Below are 18,048 nucleotides of genomic sequence, written 5' to 3'. Positions count from 1 at the left end.
GGAGCGAACTTTCCCCCAAAGTCATCTGTGGTTGAAATCAGCAATCGCCTATAACATCCCCGGTGTGTCAACACCGTTTGGTAAATATCTAGAACCAGTGCCTCGTCACTGAGGCAGCCCCGCGCGCCCCTGCTTGGGTTCCGCGTCCCAGGACCCTCGGGGCCCACAACAGATCAGGCGAGCCCATCCGGTGACCCTCCCTGGGGCTCCGGCCCCACTCTTTCTTACTTCTTCACCTACATATTTTCACGTGTTTCAGGATCGAAACCATGAAAAGTCATGTGTGAAAGTCTCCCCCGCCCCTGCCTGCATCCAATCTCATTGGCCACAGCCCGGAATGAGACATGATTGGATTCTTTGAATCTTTCCAGGGAGTCTTTATGCCATTTCAAACGCATATGTATAGATATTCTTCATTCAGACTTGGATATTTTTTGCTCTTGATGAAACCTGTCTCCCTGTCCTTCAGTTTCCCCTCCCACTATAGTGGATGTTTCACCATCCTCTGCCCAAGCTGGGTCATCACAATCACAGACAAGAGTGTCGCCAGCATTGCCATCCGTGACATGAGATGCTTTAAAGGTGCATTAATTTGCACAGCAATTCTGTGTCTGCAAATCTATTCTACACAATTAAATTGAGATTCATGCAAGCACAGTTTCTGCAGCATTTAGTTTCTCTAAAAGTAACTGACTGGAGACCATCTGGATCTTCAGACACAGACACTGGTAACATTTGTTGTGATGCAGTCATTCTATGTAATGTGCAGAGATAAAAAGGAAAAGAATCTGTATGTGCAGGTATTGGAAGATCTTGAAAATGTGTTATTTTGAGATAGAATCTGCGTTCAGCAGAGTGCCTATGGGCTTATATTTGTTTTAAAAATCAGCATTGATACATGTACACATCTCTACTGTTAGTAAAGAAAACAGTATTTCCATAACTTATTGCCAGTCTGTTTGTCCGTTTTAGGAAAAATCAATATAGCTGAAAAGCCATGGTGGCAGGAATTGGTCATCACCCGCCAACATTCTACACTGCCCTACACATCGTCCCAGCTGAGGTTGCCGGAGGAACAGGATGTGGAATGCAGTCACGTTTCAGTGAAGAACCTGAAGTCAAACTGGACCAAGTGTCTTGTCTTGATCTCTGCCTCTTCACCCAACCCCCACCTGGTCAGGCAGTGACCCTGGAGGAGCTGGGACCATGCTTTGTGGGCAGTGAAGATGGGGAGCCAATTTTGGGAGCATGGTGAACATGGAGAGTCGGGACCCCACAGCAACTGGGGAGGAGCTGGTGTGATGCTGGGAGCACTGGGAAGACAGGGAGCCTAGGCACAGCACTTACTGCTCCTCCAATCTGGGACAGGATTGGGGTGGGTGATGAGAAAAGTTTCCTGAGTAGCACAGTTCCCAAGCCTGGCAGAATGGCTGGCCCCGGTTGCCACTATGCCCAGCCCATCCTACACTTTATATTCTGTCAACAGCAATTTTTAAAACACTGTATCCAGAACATAGACAAAGATAACCAACCACATGGGGAGATAAGATAGCAACAACAAGAACCAGCTGAAATGTGCAACAGAGACAGAAAATACATGGAACCTCTAGATCAGTCCTCTGATAGAAATATAATGCAAGCCACAAGTGTGAGCCACACAGGGAATTTTAAATATTCTAGTGAACACACTGAAAAAAATAAAAAGAAACAGGTGAAATATATTTTTACAACATTTTTAACTCAATATGTTTTAACTAAATTTTTTTAACCAAAATGATTATTTCAACATGTCATCAATGGAAAAATGAATAATGAGACATTTGACATTTTCATACTAAACCTTTGGAATTTGGTGTGCACCATATACTGACAGTACTTCTCAATTTAAACTAGTTGTATTGCAAGCTCTTAATAGCCTCATGTAGCTAGTAACTGCTGGGTTAGACTTTGCAGCTTTAGATTTTAGAATGATCTTGCCGGGGGCGGTAGCTCACCCCTGTAATCCCAGCACTTTGGGAGGCCAAGGTGGGTGGATCACCTGAGGTCGGGAGGTCGAGACCATCCTGACCAACCTGGTGAAACCTCTTCTCTATTAAAAATACGAAAATTAGCTGGGTATGGTGGTGCGCGCCTATAGTCCCGGCTACTCAGGAGGCTGAGGCACAAGAATCAATTGAACCCAGGAAGTGGAGGTTGCAGTGAGCCGAGATCATGCCACTGTAATTCTGCGCTAACCAGCGAGTGAGACTCTGTCTCAAAAAAAAAAAAAAAAATTAGAATTATCAGGCACGGACTTAAAAATAAATTTTCCTGGTTTTCTTGCTCTGTTGTTGCTATGGCATGTGGTGCCTGCCAGTTACAGCTAAACAGTCAGTTTTGCTGTTTCTAGGCAGGAAAATGCTCGCATCACAAGTAAATGTCCAGGCATCCCAGGAGGTTTCTCTGGTAATGTATATTTTCATTAGTCAATTCCAGTCTTAAAGGTACAATTCTCCTGACTTTTTAACGTTTTCCTAGGGTGCCATCCTGTATGTGAAATCCAAAATTGATGATTTCTTCTCAAAGGCAGTGTTACCATAATTCACACCATTTAGATATATTATAAAAAAGTGTTTAAATCTATTTAACATTGTTCATTAAGCTTCTGTCAGAATCATAAAAACATCTTGTCATGCCTGATTAATTCAACTGAGTTCAGTTTTGAAACAGCACTGCTGTTCTACAATGTGCTATTTATTGTTTAAGCCTAGAATTCATTAGTGTTTCCAATAACTGAAAGGGATGGAGTATTTTACTAAGATATCTGTCATAAATTGTAATAAATTTAAGACAGTGGGCCGGTTTTATGAAATCTATAAAATACAGAAATGATAGGAAGTAAAAATGAATTTAATATAGTTCTAGCCCTCATTTTGTCTAAAAGCCAATGTTCAGTGAAAACATTGTTGTTTTTCTCTCCTGCAAACCTGAAGCAAGTAATGCTAGAAATGTGATTTTCTACAGAACTGACAGGTTGGTAAGATGATGCATGACTGAAGTAATATCATTCAACTATTTAACATTTATAGCCTGGGAACATGCCTTATAATACGGCCAAATGCCTACAAGTTTCAATATACTCCTAAAGATAAGAGACTTTAAGCTCCTATGTTCACAAAGGAGTATTGTCTGTAAATTATGTCTCAGTAAGTTTAATATTTATGAAAGGTGGTAGGAGAGAAGACTAACAGTAGCTGAATAAGAGAAAAACAATAAGCTTGTCTGATCTACAAGTGCATCTATGAAAAGGTAGGTTAAACTAGAAACCATTCTCCACCTCCTTGAGACTGTGACTAACAGCCTGGAACAGTACAAATCCACTGGATGAAGACAGGAAAGAAGCTCAGGCTTCTGGCTCCCTCACCCATATTACCCCAGAGAAACAATGGAAGGAAGAAGGAAACACTTGGCCAACAGACTACACAACAGCAACCCTGGTTGCAAGATAACAACGGAGTATTCTTTCTAAAATATGAAGGAAAAGAACTTGAGCTTAGAATTTTTTATCCAGTCAAATTCTCATTTAAATAGGAAGGTATCTTTTCTGTTGCAGCCATAACAAATTGCCACATACTTACCTGCTTAAATCAGTACATCTTTATTATTTCACAGTCCTCTAGGTTGCAAGTCTGAGATGGCTTGATTGGTTTCTCTGCTCCCAGTTCCTCAAGGTCAAGGTCAAGGTGTCCACCTGCTGGGCTCTGGTTGGGAGGTTCTGGGAAGCATCTGCTTCCAAGTGCACTCAGGTTGATGGCAGAATCCAGTCCTTGGACCTGTGGGACTAAGGTCCCAGCTTCCCTGCTGGCTGTCAGCTGCAGCCCTTCCCTAACTCCCAGAGGCCCCTCTCCAGTCTTGCTCATGGCCCCCACATCTCAGAGCCAGCAACAGTGCATGAAATCCTTCTCATGCTTAGAATCTGTCTGACATTGGACGCATCTTTCTTGGCTCCAGCCTGAGAAAATTCTCTGCTTTTTAGAGCTCATGTGATGGCACTGGGCCCACTCAGAGAATCCAGGAAAATCTCTCTATTTTAAGGTTAACTGATGAGTAGCTTTAATTATGACTGTGCAGAGCCTAGACTAGCGGTACCTAGACTCTCAGTACCTAGACTAGCGGTGCCTAGACTAGGAGCAGCTGGTTTCTCTAGGCCCCTCACCCCTTACTCTCTCCATCCCCTTCTTCCTGGCCCCCCTTTTCTTTCCCGTTTGCATTCCCACTTTCATACTCCTTCCTTCCTTGCTTAAAATACTGGATTTTCCTGCGGCTGGTATGCTCCATGCTCAATGAAACAGGCTAAGACAGTGGTTAGTTGTCCTATCATCAGTGTTTTCTATAACATATCGTTCTAGAAAAGGTACAGGAAACTTGAAGGGGCAGCTTCCAAATCCTACCCACTGCAGTGTATTAGAAATATTCGAAATTATAGAAAACCTGAAGGATATTTGCCTCCTAAAGATCCAAGTTGGAAATAGTTCAGAGGAAGGTACCTCAACAGCAAGAGAAACACAGGAGATGCGACAAGAGAACCAAGGAGGACAAGTGACCAAGGAATCCATTCCAGATTACTGTTATCTCACAACAAGGGGAAATGTGAAGTTAGGATCACAGAAACAAGGAAGTGTAGCTAAGAATAACCGAGAATTACAGCTAGGAAAATTATCAGGAAAATGGGGCTGGAGGTGGCACGTGAAAGGGATAGGAAAACATGCTGAGACTTCTAAAATTAGGAATAAAACAAAACCAATAATACCAATAAATGTGAATACATATTGGTATGAGTCATAGGTTAAGGGCAGCCACCCTGAGAAGAAAACTAGAATGTATAACTTTTAAACCAACAGAAAAGAACCCTCAGTATACTAAATGGAACACAGCTACGGAGGGGAAATGCCAGCATTAAAAAACACAATAAATACATGTGCACCAGGCACAGTGGCTCACGCCTGTAATCCCTGCACTTTGGGAGGCCGAGGTGGGAGGATCGCTTGAGCTCAGGAGTTCAAGACCACCCTTTGCAATATAGGCAGACCCCATCTCTACAAACAAATACAGAAAATTAGCCCAGTGGGTGGCGCATGCTTGTAGTCCTGGCTACTCGGAGGCTGAGGCAGTAAGATGGCCTGAGCCCAGGAGTTAGAGGCTGCAGTGAGCTATGACCACGCCATTGCACTCCAGCCTGGACAACAGAGAGAGCTAGTATCAAAAAAAAAATAAAAAATAAAAAAATGGCATAGCTAAATCCTAAACAGTAATAATTAACAATAAACGTGAATTACTAAACTCATCACATAAATCAGCGAAACTCCCAGGTTGGATTTTAAAATATCGAATAATATACAGTATTTTAAAAAGGCAATGTTAAATGTAAAGATTAAAAATAAAAGGTGCTGTATCTGCCAAGAAAGGCTACTTTGTTTTTTTGTATTTGTTTCTTTTAGCGACTACAATATGCTTTATAGTTCTTGGAAAGGACTCAGGGTTTGGCTTTAAATCAGGCTGCACGCTCTTCATCAGTCTCACATCTCTCTCCCCATGCCAGGCTGGCTCCAGCCTGCAATGCTGCATTACATTCCAGGGAGACATTCAGGAGCTTACAGAAGCCTCCCCTCCTCCTGGCCTCCCTGCAGTCCAAGAACCCCCATGACCCCTGTTTAGGGTCCAGCCTGGAACTCACCGACCCGACCCACCCTGGACCATCCTGGCACCAGGAACAGAAGCTGGATGCAGACACCCAACTCTGTGCCAGCACCTGTGCCACTGGGGACCTGGAGCCCAGGGCGTGACACACCCGGAGGAAACAGAGGGCCCCCACGTGAGTCACCGAGGCTCTCGATGCTGTCACAGCTCCAGTGGCCCCGCCCCGCCCACTTGCAACTCCAGGCCCTGGGGCTGGAAATACTTGGATCCTGGCTCCCTCTCAGACCCTAACCCTTCTTTTCTCCTTCACTTTCCTCCTGGCCCCCTTATCTTTTCCCAATGCCATTCCTGCTTTCAGACTCATTCCTTTTTTGCTTAAATACAAGATTTTCGGCTAGGGCGTAGTGGCTCACAGCTTTAATCCCAACACTTTCCGAGGCCAAGGCTGGCGGATCATGAGGTCAGGAGTTCGAGACCAGCCTGGCCAACATAGTGAAACCCCGTCTCTACTAAAAATAAAAATAAAAATAATTAGCCAGGTGTGGTGGTAGGTGTTTGTAATCCTAGCTACTGAGAAGGCTGAGGCAGGAGAATCACTTGAACCAAGGAGGTGGAGGTTGCAGTGAACGAAGATTGTGCCACTGCATACCAGCCCGGGCAACAGTACAAGATTCCGTCAAAAATAATAAAATAATAATAATAATAATAATGACAACAACAATAACAAAGGCAAGATTTTCCTGGCCATGGTGCGCCCTAGGCTCAGTCAAACCATATGAAGACAGCAGTTTGCTGTCCATCATCACACTATGTTTTCTAGAAGTTTCTATCCTGATGAAGCACCCCAGACTGGTTGAAAACCAAAGTTACTCTTCCTTGGAAAATCTTTGTGGACACCCAGGTGGGCATACAAATTTCCAAGTTGTGGCCGGGAGCAGTGGCTCACACCTGTAATCCCAGCACTTTGAGAGGCCAAGGCAGGTGGATCACCTGAGGCCAGGAGATCGAGACCAGCCTGGCCAACATGGTGAGACCCTGTCTCTACTAAAATTGCAAAAATTAGCCAGGCACAGTGGCAGGCACCTATAATCCCAGCTACTTGGGAGGCTGAGGCAGGAGAATCACTTGAATCCAGGAGCCGGAGGTTGCACTGAGCTGAGATCATCCCACTGAACTCCAGCTTGAGCAATAGAGCAAGACTTCGCCTCAAAAAAAAAAAAGTAGGGACATGGATGAAGCTGGAAACCATCATTCTCAGCAAACTATCCCAAGGACAAAAAACCAAACACCGCATGTTCTCACTCATAGATGGGAATTGAACAATGACAACACTTGGACACAGGAAGGGGAACATCACACACCAGGGCCTGTTGCGGGGTAGGGGGAGGGGGAAGGGATAGCATTAGGAGATATACCTAATGTAAATGACCAGTTAATGGGTGCAGCACACCAACATGGCACATGTATACATATGTAATAAACCTGCATGTTGTGCACATGTACCCTAGAACTTAAAGTATAATTAAAAAAAAAAAACTAAAACACGAAAAATGGGCAAAAAAATTTTACCAACCTCAATGCTGCCACCTTCAGGCCCCTGGAGGTTACATCCTCCGCTCCAGCTCCCCTCTGCACCTGTGCTATTCCTCCCAGCCCCACTCACTCCCACAACTGTCTCATTCATTCACTGGTTCACTCAGCCTCCAACCACACTTACATCATGTCAGGCTCACCAGGTGATGGAGAAAAAAATCATCCTCTGTGGGTCTGAAAAACATGCCTGAGTCCTGATTGCGGGTCTCGCTTTCATTTCCACCCCCTCACAGCACACTCAGGGCCATGAAGAGGCCGCGGCCTGGGTTCAGAGCTCCAGCTCTCCTCAGGGTGGGCCTGGCAGTTGCTGACTTCAGGGAGGGCGGCAGGGCTCACAACTGAAATAGGAGACCTGCCCTGGGTCCTTAGCATGTGCAAGGACAGGGTTCCTTGTAGAATCTGCTCATTTCATCTGTGTTCATAGCATTTGTCATTTTCCACATGCGGACATCCATGCCCAGAAAGCTGAAGAACCTTGCACAGGAATATTCAGCTGCAATATCAGCTGACTTCCATGTCTGAATGCATGATCTCTAAATCACAGCCATTACAGTCACTTTTGGGCCACTTCTATGCCCATCCTGGGCTGGCCTGAGTGTGGTGGCCAAATGCCGGCAGCAGGGGTGAGGCAGGAGGGCCCAGGTGTGCACAGAGGCCCCTTCTCCTCTCACCTGGCTATCCTGCTGGAGGCTCTCCTGCTGGCCTCCTTCTGCCTTCCTCCTGTTCCCCCAGTCACTGGCCCAGGTCACCCAGCCTCACGAGTGGTGCTGCCAGGGTCTTCCCAGTGGCCTACTTCCAGGACTAACCCGGGTTCCTTGTCCCCAGCCCTATGCATGGGAGGCTCTTCTCACAACACAGATCCCCAGACCCACCAAGCTATGCCCCTCCGAAGTCTGAGAACTGCTCACCCCCGTGTGTCTGTTGGCCTGCAGACCGCTCTCCATGTGGCCCTTCCTGGACAGTGGCTTTAGTGCATCAGGCGAGAACCTTCTAGGCTCCTGTGTCCCTGCTCAGTCACAGAGGTGGCTGCCCTCCCATGACCCTGTCCTGAAGCAGAGACAGGCCCTGGGCTTGGTCCAGGCCTCCTCCTCTTTCCCACAGCCTCAGGACCCTAGGGATTGCTGGTCACCAGGTGAAGTTCTCCCCACATGAAGACTCATTCAATGGAGAACGGGCTGAGTGGCCGGGGGTAGAGTGGGCTCAGCTCTGCCCACTCCTCACCCCAGGCTAAGCCCTCCCTTGCCACCAGAGGCCACTGGGCTCCCCACCTCCCTCTGGCTTCTGTCCATAGATCTAGATGGTTCCATGGTGACTCAGAGGAGGACGCACTCGAGTGTCCCCTTTGAGGATGGTTACAGGGACCATCCAGGGACTGAGCCGAGGTGCGGATACAGCCATGGATTTGGGTGTGGTTGGACATAGATGGGAGTGCAGCAAAGTGAGCCCCACCCATGCGTAGACCCCTACTATCGGGTTCTGCTCTCCATGGAAACACAATTGATCACATGATGGTTGATCACAGTAGGCCTCTAGGGCTTTCTTTTCTTTTTTTTCCAAAAGTCATAAAGGGATATAGAATATACTCAAAGACCTCCTCATGCTTTTAGTGGAGAGGCAAAGAAGGTCCGCTTTGGACTGGGGAGGCGGCTGCGCGCTGGACAGAGAGGGTCGGGGACTCCGCGACGCAGGCGGAGGGAGGGGGTGTGTCGCTGGCGCAGGCGGTGACGGGGTCACCGCCGCCACTGTATATTCCTGTTAAGTTTCTTCACCTTCCTGTGCATCAGTGTTTACATTGGGGTAATGATAAATGCTGTGTTGAAAAATTAAACGAGGCAGTCATGGAAGGCACCGTGTCCTGCCCCGCGCGGAGCCCGGTGACGCCGCCACCAAGCCGCGGGGCCGAGGTGGAGGGGGAGGGTTCGCCCGCCGGGGCCGCTGTCACGTGACGAGCCCCGGAGCAGGGCGGGGTGGAGCATGCCCAAACAAGGCAGCCGTCGGATCACGCCCCTTGGATCCCAGCCTGCGGCGGGGCGGAACGGGGCTGGACGGGGCGGAGCGGTCCAATTCACTAGCCTGAATGTGAGGCACCAGGCGATTCCTCCGCCCATATCCGCCTCGACCCCGACTCCCGTCCCCTGTGCCCCAGGTCCCCAATGGCAGCGGCCGCTTGCCCCGCGTTTCTTCTGTGCTTCCCGCTTCTGCTACTGCTGTCCGGCTGGTCCGGGTCAGGGCGGGCCGGTGAGTTCGGGGATGGAGCCTAATCGGGGGCTGGAGCCTAATCGGGGGCTGGGGCCAAACTTGGCGGGCTGTGGACTGCAGCGTGTTTCAGAGGAAGGAAAGCTTCTAGAAGGACCGGCGCGATCTCCCCGAGCATCGGCCCCCCCGCCCCCGGAGTTCCCCGCTGCGGCTCCTTTACGCTGGGTCCGCTTCCTGCGGCTGCAGCTTGCACTGCAGACCAGGAGGGTTTTTAAAGAGCGCGGAAAAGGCACCACAGGAGGGTGGAGGGGCCAACGGGCTGCAGAGGGCAGGGTGGAGCGGGGATCCCTGATGCAGCTCCGCAGCCCTACTCGCCCTCGGGAAGAAGAAACCAGAGCCCCCGAAACCCTAGCTGGGGTCAGGACAGGGGTGAAGCGGGGTTCCACAGGGATGCGATCACAAACTCCCCCACCAACCACAGAAATGCTCTGCTCTCACCCGCTCTCCACCCTCCAGCACCTGTAGGGCTCCGCCCTGGAACTTCCCCTGCAATTTGCTGCAGACACTCACCTGCACCCAGGGGCTCACCAGACACTTCCCACCATTCACCACTTCCTCACCATTCACTTCTGCTACTCAGGTCTCATTCTTTCACTCCCCATCTCAGCCCAGCCCTGTCACCCCACAGGCCTCCCTCACCTCCCCATCCATGAAGGGGCCCTTAGCACCTCCCCACACCAACTAGCACCTTGTCCCCTTTTGCCTGAGGGCACACCCCAGCAAACACACCCCAGGCTTTCTACAGAACTTAATGCAGGGGGGACGGGAAATCCCATTTCCCTCAGGATGACCCTGGGAGCGCCCGTGAGTAGAGGTGCCCACTTCTGCCCTTGGGTCCCAGACCCGCCTGTTCTTCCTACTGGGGAGCCAGGGTCATATAGAATAGTCACTACGCAGACAGGAGTCAGCAAACCCTTTCTAGAAAGAAAAGGCTGAAGTCACTTTGGTCCTTGCTGGCCGTGAGTTCTCTGTCTGTGTGTCAAGTCCTGTCCCTTTGTAGAGCAACAGCAGGCAATGGTAACCTGCAAGTAAAAGGGAGAGCAGATGTGGACCCTGTCCTAGGTTGCTGACCCCAGATGAGGGCACATGCTGTGTCCTGGCAATTGCTGCCCCATCCCCTAGGGTGTCATCTCCAAGTTGTGTAAGTTGAAGAGTCACAAGTGTGTCCTACCCTGCCTGTGGCTTCTGGGTGGTGTGGATGTGATGGATGTGAATGGAGGTTCCATGGGTCCAGGCCTACTGCCCCCATCCTTTGCTGCTGGGTGGCATCATCGGTACCTCAAGGCAATCAGGGACCCTCCCTGAAGCCTCAGGTGTGAGCTGAGGGTGAGGCGGTACAGCCACATGGTGTCCTGGGGATCGGGGCCAACTGCCTGTGCAGCTTCTTGGTTCCCTGTGGCCCTGCTCCTGCCCATCCCAGGAGACCCACCTGTGTCTTCTCACTGTGGGGCCTATCTTCCTAATGACCTAAAGGGTGAGGAGCCCACCCTGTGATGGGCAGCTCTGAGGCTGTGTGGTCACTGCCCTCCCATAGCTGGAGGCCCATCTCCACAGGGGCCCAGGACCACAGCAGGAGCCACTTTTAAATGAGGGGATTTCACTGCTGTGAGTGGCACAGCCTTGCTTCTGAGCACTAGGGGATCCTGTTGTGATTCTGCGGTTGGCAATTGCCATGAAATCCACATAGCACCTTTTCCAACCACACATGCCTCTGGGATCTTAGGGAGTCCAGGGTCAAATAGCCATATTGGTAGGTCCAGCGTCACGCCTCATCACAGAGTGTGTATGGCTGCATCCCAGCTACAAGAGCAGAGTTGAGTAGTGACAGGGGAGGTCATATGACCAGCACAACCTATAATAGATACTACATTAACTACAAACACTATCCATTCCCGGTAGAAATCCAGGAAATGTGAAATTACCATCGAATGGGTCTATGAACCCAGCACATCCCCCTAAGCTGGACCTGACACAGGTGTCCATCCGTTACTTTGCCCCAAATGCACCTCATGAGTAACAGGAAGTTAATGCTTCAGATCTCTGAAAGGAGGTTGGATCACACACTGTGTCCACCAGAAGTGTCTGGGTATTTGCTGTTTCATGGTGTACAGTTACCAGAGTGAATGCCCATCTGGCTCTCTGGGGGAGGCTGAAGGAGTCATTGCAGTTGCTGTGGTGTTGAAGGGGCCCACCAGGGCCTCTGGGCTCTCCTTCTAGTAATGGACTCTGGGTCTGAGATGTGACTCAGTTCTCAAAGCTGGGCAAAGGAGCTCGGTTATTTCCTGGGGTGACTCCTTTCAGCCTCCAGGTCATCCATCCTTGTGTTTTGTCTTTGTTTGTTGTAGTTATTTAAATCTAGCAGCATCCGGGTTGAGTTTCCATCTCTTTTGGATTCTTGACCCCTTTGTTCTATGAGCCATGGGCACACCTTTGTATGACTGAGGTCCCCACCTGGCATTGTGACTTCTCTAATTATTTCCATCTTTGCCCCCTCCTTCCTCCTGACAGTTGACGGCCTCCACTTGAGATCTCTTATTTCAGGATTTTCCATCCCCATTACTACTGGGAGCCCGTTTCAGGAACAGCATTTCCTACCCTCAACCCCAGCCTTCAGCAACAGGCATCCCTGGGCTTCCTGATAGACTGCTGCCTTCTCCTGGGGCCTTCTTTGTATGCTGGGTAATCAGGAGTCCTCCAGGCTTCCCATGAGCACAGAGGATGGACATTGTTCTGGATTTTCGTACTGCAGCCACTCTGGCATGGGTGCTTCTCTGAGCCTTTTGGCTCTTTCCTCTACACCCTGACTTAGAAGTTCTGGATTTTCCACTTCTTGCCCTGTGAACCATCCCTTTACAAGGTTCCAGGAATGCATCTTCAAAGCAGATGGGTGTCATCGCCGGGCTTTGCCAAAGTGTTAAATCATGTGACCCATGACAATAATCACTTGCTTATCTAAACTGAATTCTGCCCTCACCCCACCCACTGTGCTGGAGCATCCCAGGGCAGCCCCCACACCCTCTCCCACCTCCTGCAGTCCACATGGGCTGCTGCTGAGGGTCCTCCTCATCCAGGCCTTTTCCTGCCACAACAGGCCTGGCACCTCCACCACAAGGTCATGTGCTGACTGATGTTGGCACAGGGCAGGTGAGACATGTCTGGAGGGGACATGTGGTTTCATGGCTGCAGGAACCTTCCCCTCCATGTACTCAAGCAAGGGAGATGCTCTAGTCTTTAATTAGTTGACATGACAGGCTTGGCTGGGGCACATCTTGCTCTGCCAGCCCAGCCCCTCAGAGGCCTTCATTTGCAGTCACCATAAGGGGGAGGAGGGGTCTCAGATTCCACTTTCCTCCACACCAACCCTCTCCTGTGTTTTTCTTCCACAGACACACACTGTCTTTGCTATGACTTCATCATCACTCCTAAGTTCAGACCTGAACCACGATGGTGTGAAGTTCAAGGCCTGGTGGATGAAAGGCCTTTTCTTCACTATGACTGTGTTAACCACAAGGCCAAAGCCTTTGCTTCTCTGCGGAAGAAAGTAAATGTCACAAAAACCTGGGAAGAACAAACTGAAACACTAAGAGATTTCTCCCTTCTCTCCCACACAAGCACACTAAGACAAACTGAAACACTAAGAGATGTGGGGGATTTCCTCAAAGGGCAACTGCCTGACATTGAAATGGAGAATGTAATACCCATCGGTAAGTTTAAAATAGTCCAGGACAGCAGAGAGCAGACACAGTAGTGTCTTAGAGGCATTTATTGGTTTCCTGTAAAAAATAAATCAGAAGTTTGTGTCACCCAAGAGGTTGAGGAGCATGGGCCGGATGCAGCAGAGAGAGCAAGTCCAGGAGCCAGGAAAGGAAGCAGGGTGGGGCTCAGGATTTGTCAAGATCAGAGCTGATCTCTTTGCAATAGGGCAGAGCCCCTCATTCTGCAGGCCAGGATGTCTTGTGAGCATGAAGCCCACGGACACGGCAGAGGATCTTGGCAGTTCCTCTTCAATGGACAGACTTTCCTCCTCTTTGACTCAAACAACAGAAAGTAGACAGCACTTCATCCTGGAGCCAAGAAGATGACAGAGAAGTGGGAGAAGAACAAGGAGGTGACCGTGTTCTTCCATAACATTTCAATGGGGGATTGTAAGACATGGCTTGAAGACTTTTTGATATACTGGGAACAAATGCTGGATCCAACAAGTAAGTGAGAGGTGAAAAAAGGCAGCTCTCTTGAGTTCAGATCTTATCAGCCCGTTGTGTGAGTGTGTGTGTGTGTGTGTGTGCGTGTGCGTGTTTAAGTGAGTGTGAACATGACCCCCTCATGGGGGGCTCCTCCTGGGGGTGCTGGCATACCTATGCTCTCCATCCTCCTCTCCCTTCTTCCCCCGACTCCTCTTCCTCACTGCACCTGCTTCTGCTCAACCCACTGTGCATTTCTCACCAGCCTCAAATCTGTGGGTGTCATAGTGTTTCTAGACCTTTTTCATTAGTGTTCCTTCCTCCTAGAATCACTTTTCCTTTCCTCTCCCCCTGTCTGTGTCTGTATATCCATCGAAACCACCTAGAATGCCAGCCCCGAGACCCTCCCCTCCCTGGCCCTGGGGCATCATCTCCTCTTCCGCCACAGCAGGAGGGTGGGCTGTGCTGTCACCTTGCTTCCCTCAGCAGCTGTGTGAGCTCCCTGAGGACAGGGGACACCCCCCTCCCTTCCCAACCCAGGAACGGTCACAGCAGCTTCCTCACAGCATTGTGGGACAAAAGCTCTTCCAGGATGAGTTGAGGGGGGCAGGAGCTGAGGAGGCATCCCCTAAGATTTGGGGCCTGGACGAGGGTTGTCACTCCTGTGTTTCCATTTCAGAACCACCCTCTCTGACCCCAGGCACAACCCAACCCAAAGCCATGGCCAGCACCCTCAGTCCCTGGAGCCTCCTCATCATCCTCTGCTTTATCCTCCCTGGCATCTGAGGAGAGTTCTTTAGAGTGACAGGTAATGTGGGCAATATTGGGAGGGGAGCAAGAGGCAGATGGGTGAGGTGGGAGGATGCAGAAGGAGAATTCCCAGAGTCCCACCCATCCCCATGGCTGGGACCTTCTCATCCTGACATGAGACAGATGAATGAGACCTAGTGTCACCTACTGGCAATGACCTGGGTAGCTCAGCCCTGAGTTCTGATGGATTCTCACTGTCAGAACCAGAGGGAAAGGGAGGGGCCCATACCAAGGCTCAAGGCCTGTTGAGCTTGAGAGAGTTTAGCCATTTCAGGCCTGTTTCAGAGCAGGTTCCTATTCGGGAAGGGTAGTGGTGTGTGGCCTGCAGGCAGCAGGAACTCAGGCATGGGCAGTCTGCACAGTAGGAGAGGAGCAGCATGGCTGCTTCACCAAGGATGTCAAGGGAAAGGGCGTCCCTGGAGGAGGCTAAGAAGAGAGTGATCTGGGAGAATCCCAGGATGAGGGAGCTGTGAGGGCCTTGGCCCACCCAGTTCCTAAGGCTGCATTCCCAGAGAAAGCAGCTCGGGTCCCAGCAGTTAAGGTGGAAGGTGAAGAGTAGAGCGTGTCCAGGGTGAGATTTAGGAAAAGGCCAGGCCCCTTGGACCCATGGGAGTCCTTGCTGGGCCCTGGGGCGATGCCCCTGCCATTCCGCCTCTTGCACACTCCAGATCCTGAGCCAGCTGATGGCCCTGCCTGGAGCAGAGTGGACTCAGGCAGGGGAGCTAAGCTGCTGTTGGAGTTCCATGCTCACCACTGAGCTTGGCCAGGAATGAATGGGGCAGGGCAAGGACAGTCCCATTCAGAGCTATGGGTGCAGCTCCCAGGGTGAGGAAAGGCTGAGAGTGAAGGGAAAAGAAGGTGGTTTGTCTACAAGCCCACCTAAGGCCAGGGAACATGGATCCAGAGACCTCTCTTTGGACAGGGCTCCCCCAGGTCCTCTAGACCCTTCTATGAGAGGGTGGAGCAGTCCCTGAGTGAGCGTGCAGACCCCTCATTCCCAGCCTCAAGGAGGGTGGAGGCTGGAACAGGGTACAGAGCCAGGGGTAGGGTTGGAGGGAAAAACATGTTCCTTATTTGGGGGAGAGGCTCCAAAATGGGGAGGGTCTGGGAGGGATCACCCAGGAGAACAGACCCAGGTTTTTCTCAGCCACTTAAACCAACACATCATCTTTCCTCAAGGTGGAAGGTGATATCAAGAAGCCTCTGTTAGCCTGGTCTGGGTCCTGCTCTCCCTTCAGGGAGGCCGCCTGTCTACTCACCACTGTGCCTTTCTGGAAAGCAGGAGTTCAAGCCTTAGCAAGCCCAGAGGCCCCCAGCAGATGATGAGGACATTGTCGGCTCAACATCTCAGGCCACTCATTACCTTCGCTCATGATCCCAGCAGCCATTTTTCTTAACACCTTCTGCCACTTTCTCTCGGTGCTAATGGATGGAACTCCTGCACAAGTTTTAACTGAACAAGAAATCCCAGCAAAAAAGCATTTTCTTTCTACTTTTTTGATTGTGGAAAAGCAGACACTTCTCTGAAGCATGACCTTATTCTTCCAAACAGTATCGCTTATTCTTCCAGTGCATGCTGGACTTCAGACCTCAGGGATCCTTTCGATGCACTGACCAAGAATTGTATTAATTTTTTTTATTTTTATGGTTTTTTACATTTTCTCATCCTGTCAACCATACTGGAGTGAAGTGGCATAGTCTTCACTCACTGTAATCTCCAGCTCCTGGGCTCAAGTGATCCTCTAGACTCAGCCTCTAGAAATAGCTGGGACTACAAGCGCATGCCACCATGCCCGGCACATTGTTTTATTTTTAGGTAGAGATTGGGTCTTCCTATGTTGCTCAGGCTAGTCTTCAACTCCTGGCCTCAAGCAATCCTCCCACCTTGGCCTCCCAATGCTCTGGGATTACAGGCATGAACCACAGTGCCTGTTGTAGAAATTTTAAATTATTTAATACGGAAAAGTATTACATTCATGATTATTTTATTTAGTAATTTATTAGCCTAGATTTATAGTTAAATAAAGATGTCTATTTTCAAAGAACCTTATTGACTTTGGAATTTTGGTTTATAACCCAGTAGAGAATTAATGGAATTTCATTATTCTGCCATGTTGTTTTTAGTAATACAACTAGGGATGCTGCTAGATATCTTTTGGAAACAGAGACTTTAAAGATCACTCTTAATTTACAAGCAGGCTGGCTGTCAGTCTATTTACAAGCAGCCTGGCTGTCAGTCTTCACTACTGTCCTGATGCCCTGGGGGCTGGCAGATATTCCTGCCTCTATCCCTGCTTCCAGAATGTGATGCTTTCTGGTTTGGCCCCAGCCCACTCCACGCTCGGCAGTGGCTTTTCTCATCATTCTTCAGCCCTGACCACGCTCACTTCTAGTAGAAGAAATCCTCACCACAGATGCATCTCTATTTGTAAAAGTTATTCTATTCCCCCACAGATGAAAGATCAGGAGCAAACTATATAAAGAACTCCTAGAAATTAATAAAGTGCACCTAATTCTTGAGCAAATGCTCTGAGCAGTTCAGAGATGCTGAAGAAACCTGTGAAAGCTTTCATAGCTCTGACACAATCAAGAGAACAGTGGTCTACCCCTGCACACCCACCCTACTGATAATTTTTTAAATCTGTCTCTACCAATTGGTGGACAGGAAATGGAATATCAGAGACTTCTTACATTGTAGGTAGGAGTCCAGATTGAATCACTACTTTGACGTCTACTCAGGCAGTATCCAGGACAGCGGACGCTGTGCTCATCCCACTAACCAGCAATCCCAGAGTCAGTTCGGGGCTCCAAACGTTCCAGAGAGCATGGAGATACTAGACTGCTGACCGTGCTGTTCTTTGCCATAGCAAAGAGTTAGCAATGAAATATGCTAGTACAGTACAGGATGCTTTTCAATGCTGATGAAAGATTTCTCTTTTGCTCTACATCAGACTACAAAATCTGAACTGGCAAAAATGAACCAATCCAAATGCAGGATGAAAATGTTAAACTTTTCCAACATGTTAGTGAGGATTGCAGATTTACACGCAATAAAAATAATCACATCAATTTAGATCACTTTCCATATTTCCAAAAATATACAGATCTACCACTGGGACAAATAGAACACCATAACGTATATATTTAGGAAAATAAGGGGGTAGGAAATGCCCACATATATCAGCTCCCTGGTGATTAAAGACATTCTTAGAACAATTGCTGAACCCGGAGTGGCATCTGAGCATGAGGTGGTCGTAATGTCTGGAGTGAAATCTAATTTGGAGTTTGCACAGTGGTTATCTGGAGATTGTCCTGGTTTGCAAGGAAACCACAGTAAAGTATGGGGCATAAGGTGGCATCATTAAGATGGGGCATCAGTGTGACAGCTCACTCTTAAGTAGTGCAGGCAGAGAAGTTCTCCGTAATGTGCTTGCAACCACTCTGTTCATTCTGATTGTTTCATATTTCTTTTACTAGTTGAAGATAGAAATTGAAGAAAAACTTACTTTTCAGAAATTGATGTGAATACCTC

At 49.1% G+C, this 18,048-nt stretch overlaps 1 pseudogene across 1 annotated transcript, besides 3 other annotated features; it reads left to right on the top strand.

Annotated features, from left to right (window-relative positions):
* Window positions 7,529–8,244: an enhancer, noted in NCBI's record as "H3K4me1 hESC enhancer chr6:150327472-150328187 (GRCh37/hg19 assembly coordinates)". NCBI's record gives its function as "activates a minimal SCP1, AML or CMV promoter by ChIP-STARR-seq in primed H9 embryonic stem cells {active_cell/tissue: H9 hESC(primed)}" and the evidence as "EXISTENCE:reporter gene assay evidence [ECO:0000049][PMID:30033119]".
* Window positions 9,065–9,324: a silencer, noted in NCBI's record as "silent region_17675". NCBI's record gives its function as "represses an Ori minimal core promoter by ATAC-STARR-seq in GM12878 lymphoblastoid cells {active_cell/tissue: GM12878}" and the evidence as "EXISTENCE:reporter gene assay evidence [ECO:0000049][PMID:35858748]".
* RAET1K (retinoic acid early transcript 1K (pseudogene)) lies at window positions 9,376–16,561 on the top strand (annotated as a pseudogene). Its single transcript, NR_024045.2, has 4 exons — window positions 9,376–9,507; window positions 12,912–13,727; window positions 14,386–14,514; window positions 15,696–16,561. The product of NR_024045.2 is annotated as a retinoic acid early transcript 1K (pseudogene) (transcript).
* Window positions 9,915–10,004: a silencer, noted in NCBI's record as "silent region_17674". NCBI's record gives its function as "represses an Ori minimal core promoter by ATAC-STARR-seq in GM12878 lymphoblastoid cells {active_cell/tissue: GM12878}" and the evidence as "EXISTENCE:reporter gene assay evidence [ECO:0000049][PMID:35858748]".
* Window positions 16,562–18,048: the final 1,487 nt, after the last annotated feature.

The sequence above is a fragment of the Homo sapiens genome, chromosome 6, assembly GCF_000001405.40.
Source record: "Homo sapiens chromosome 6, GRCh38.p14 Primary Assembly".
Lineage (NCBI taxonomy): Eukaryota > Metazoa > Chordata > Mammalia > Primates > Hominidae > Homo > Homo sapiens.
This window is presented reverse-complemented; position numbering and strand designations above follow the sequence as displayed.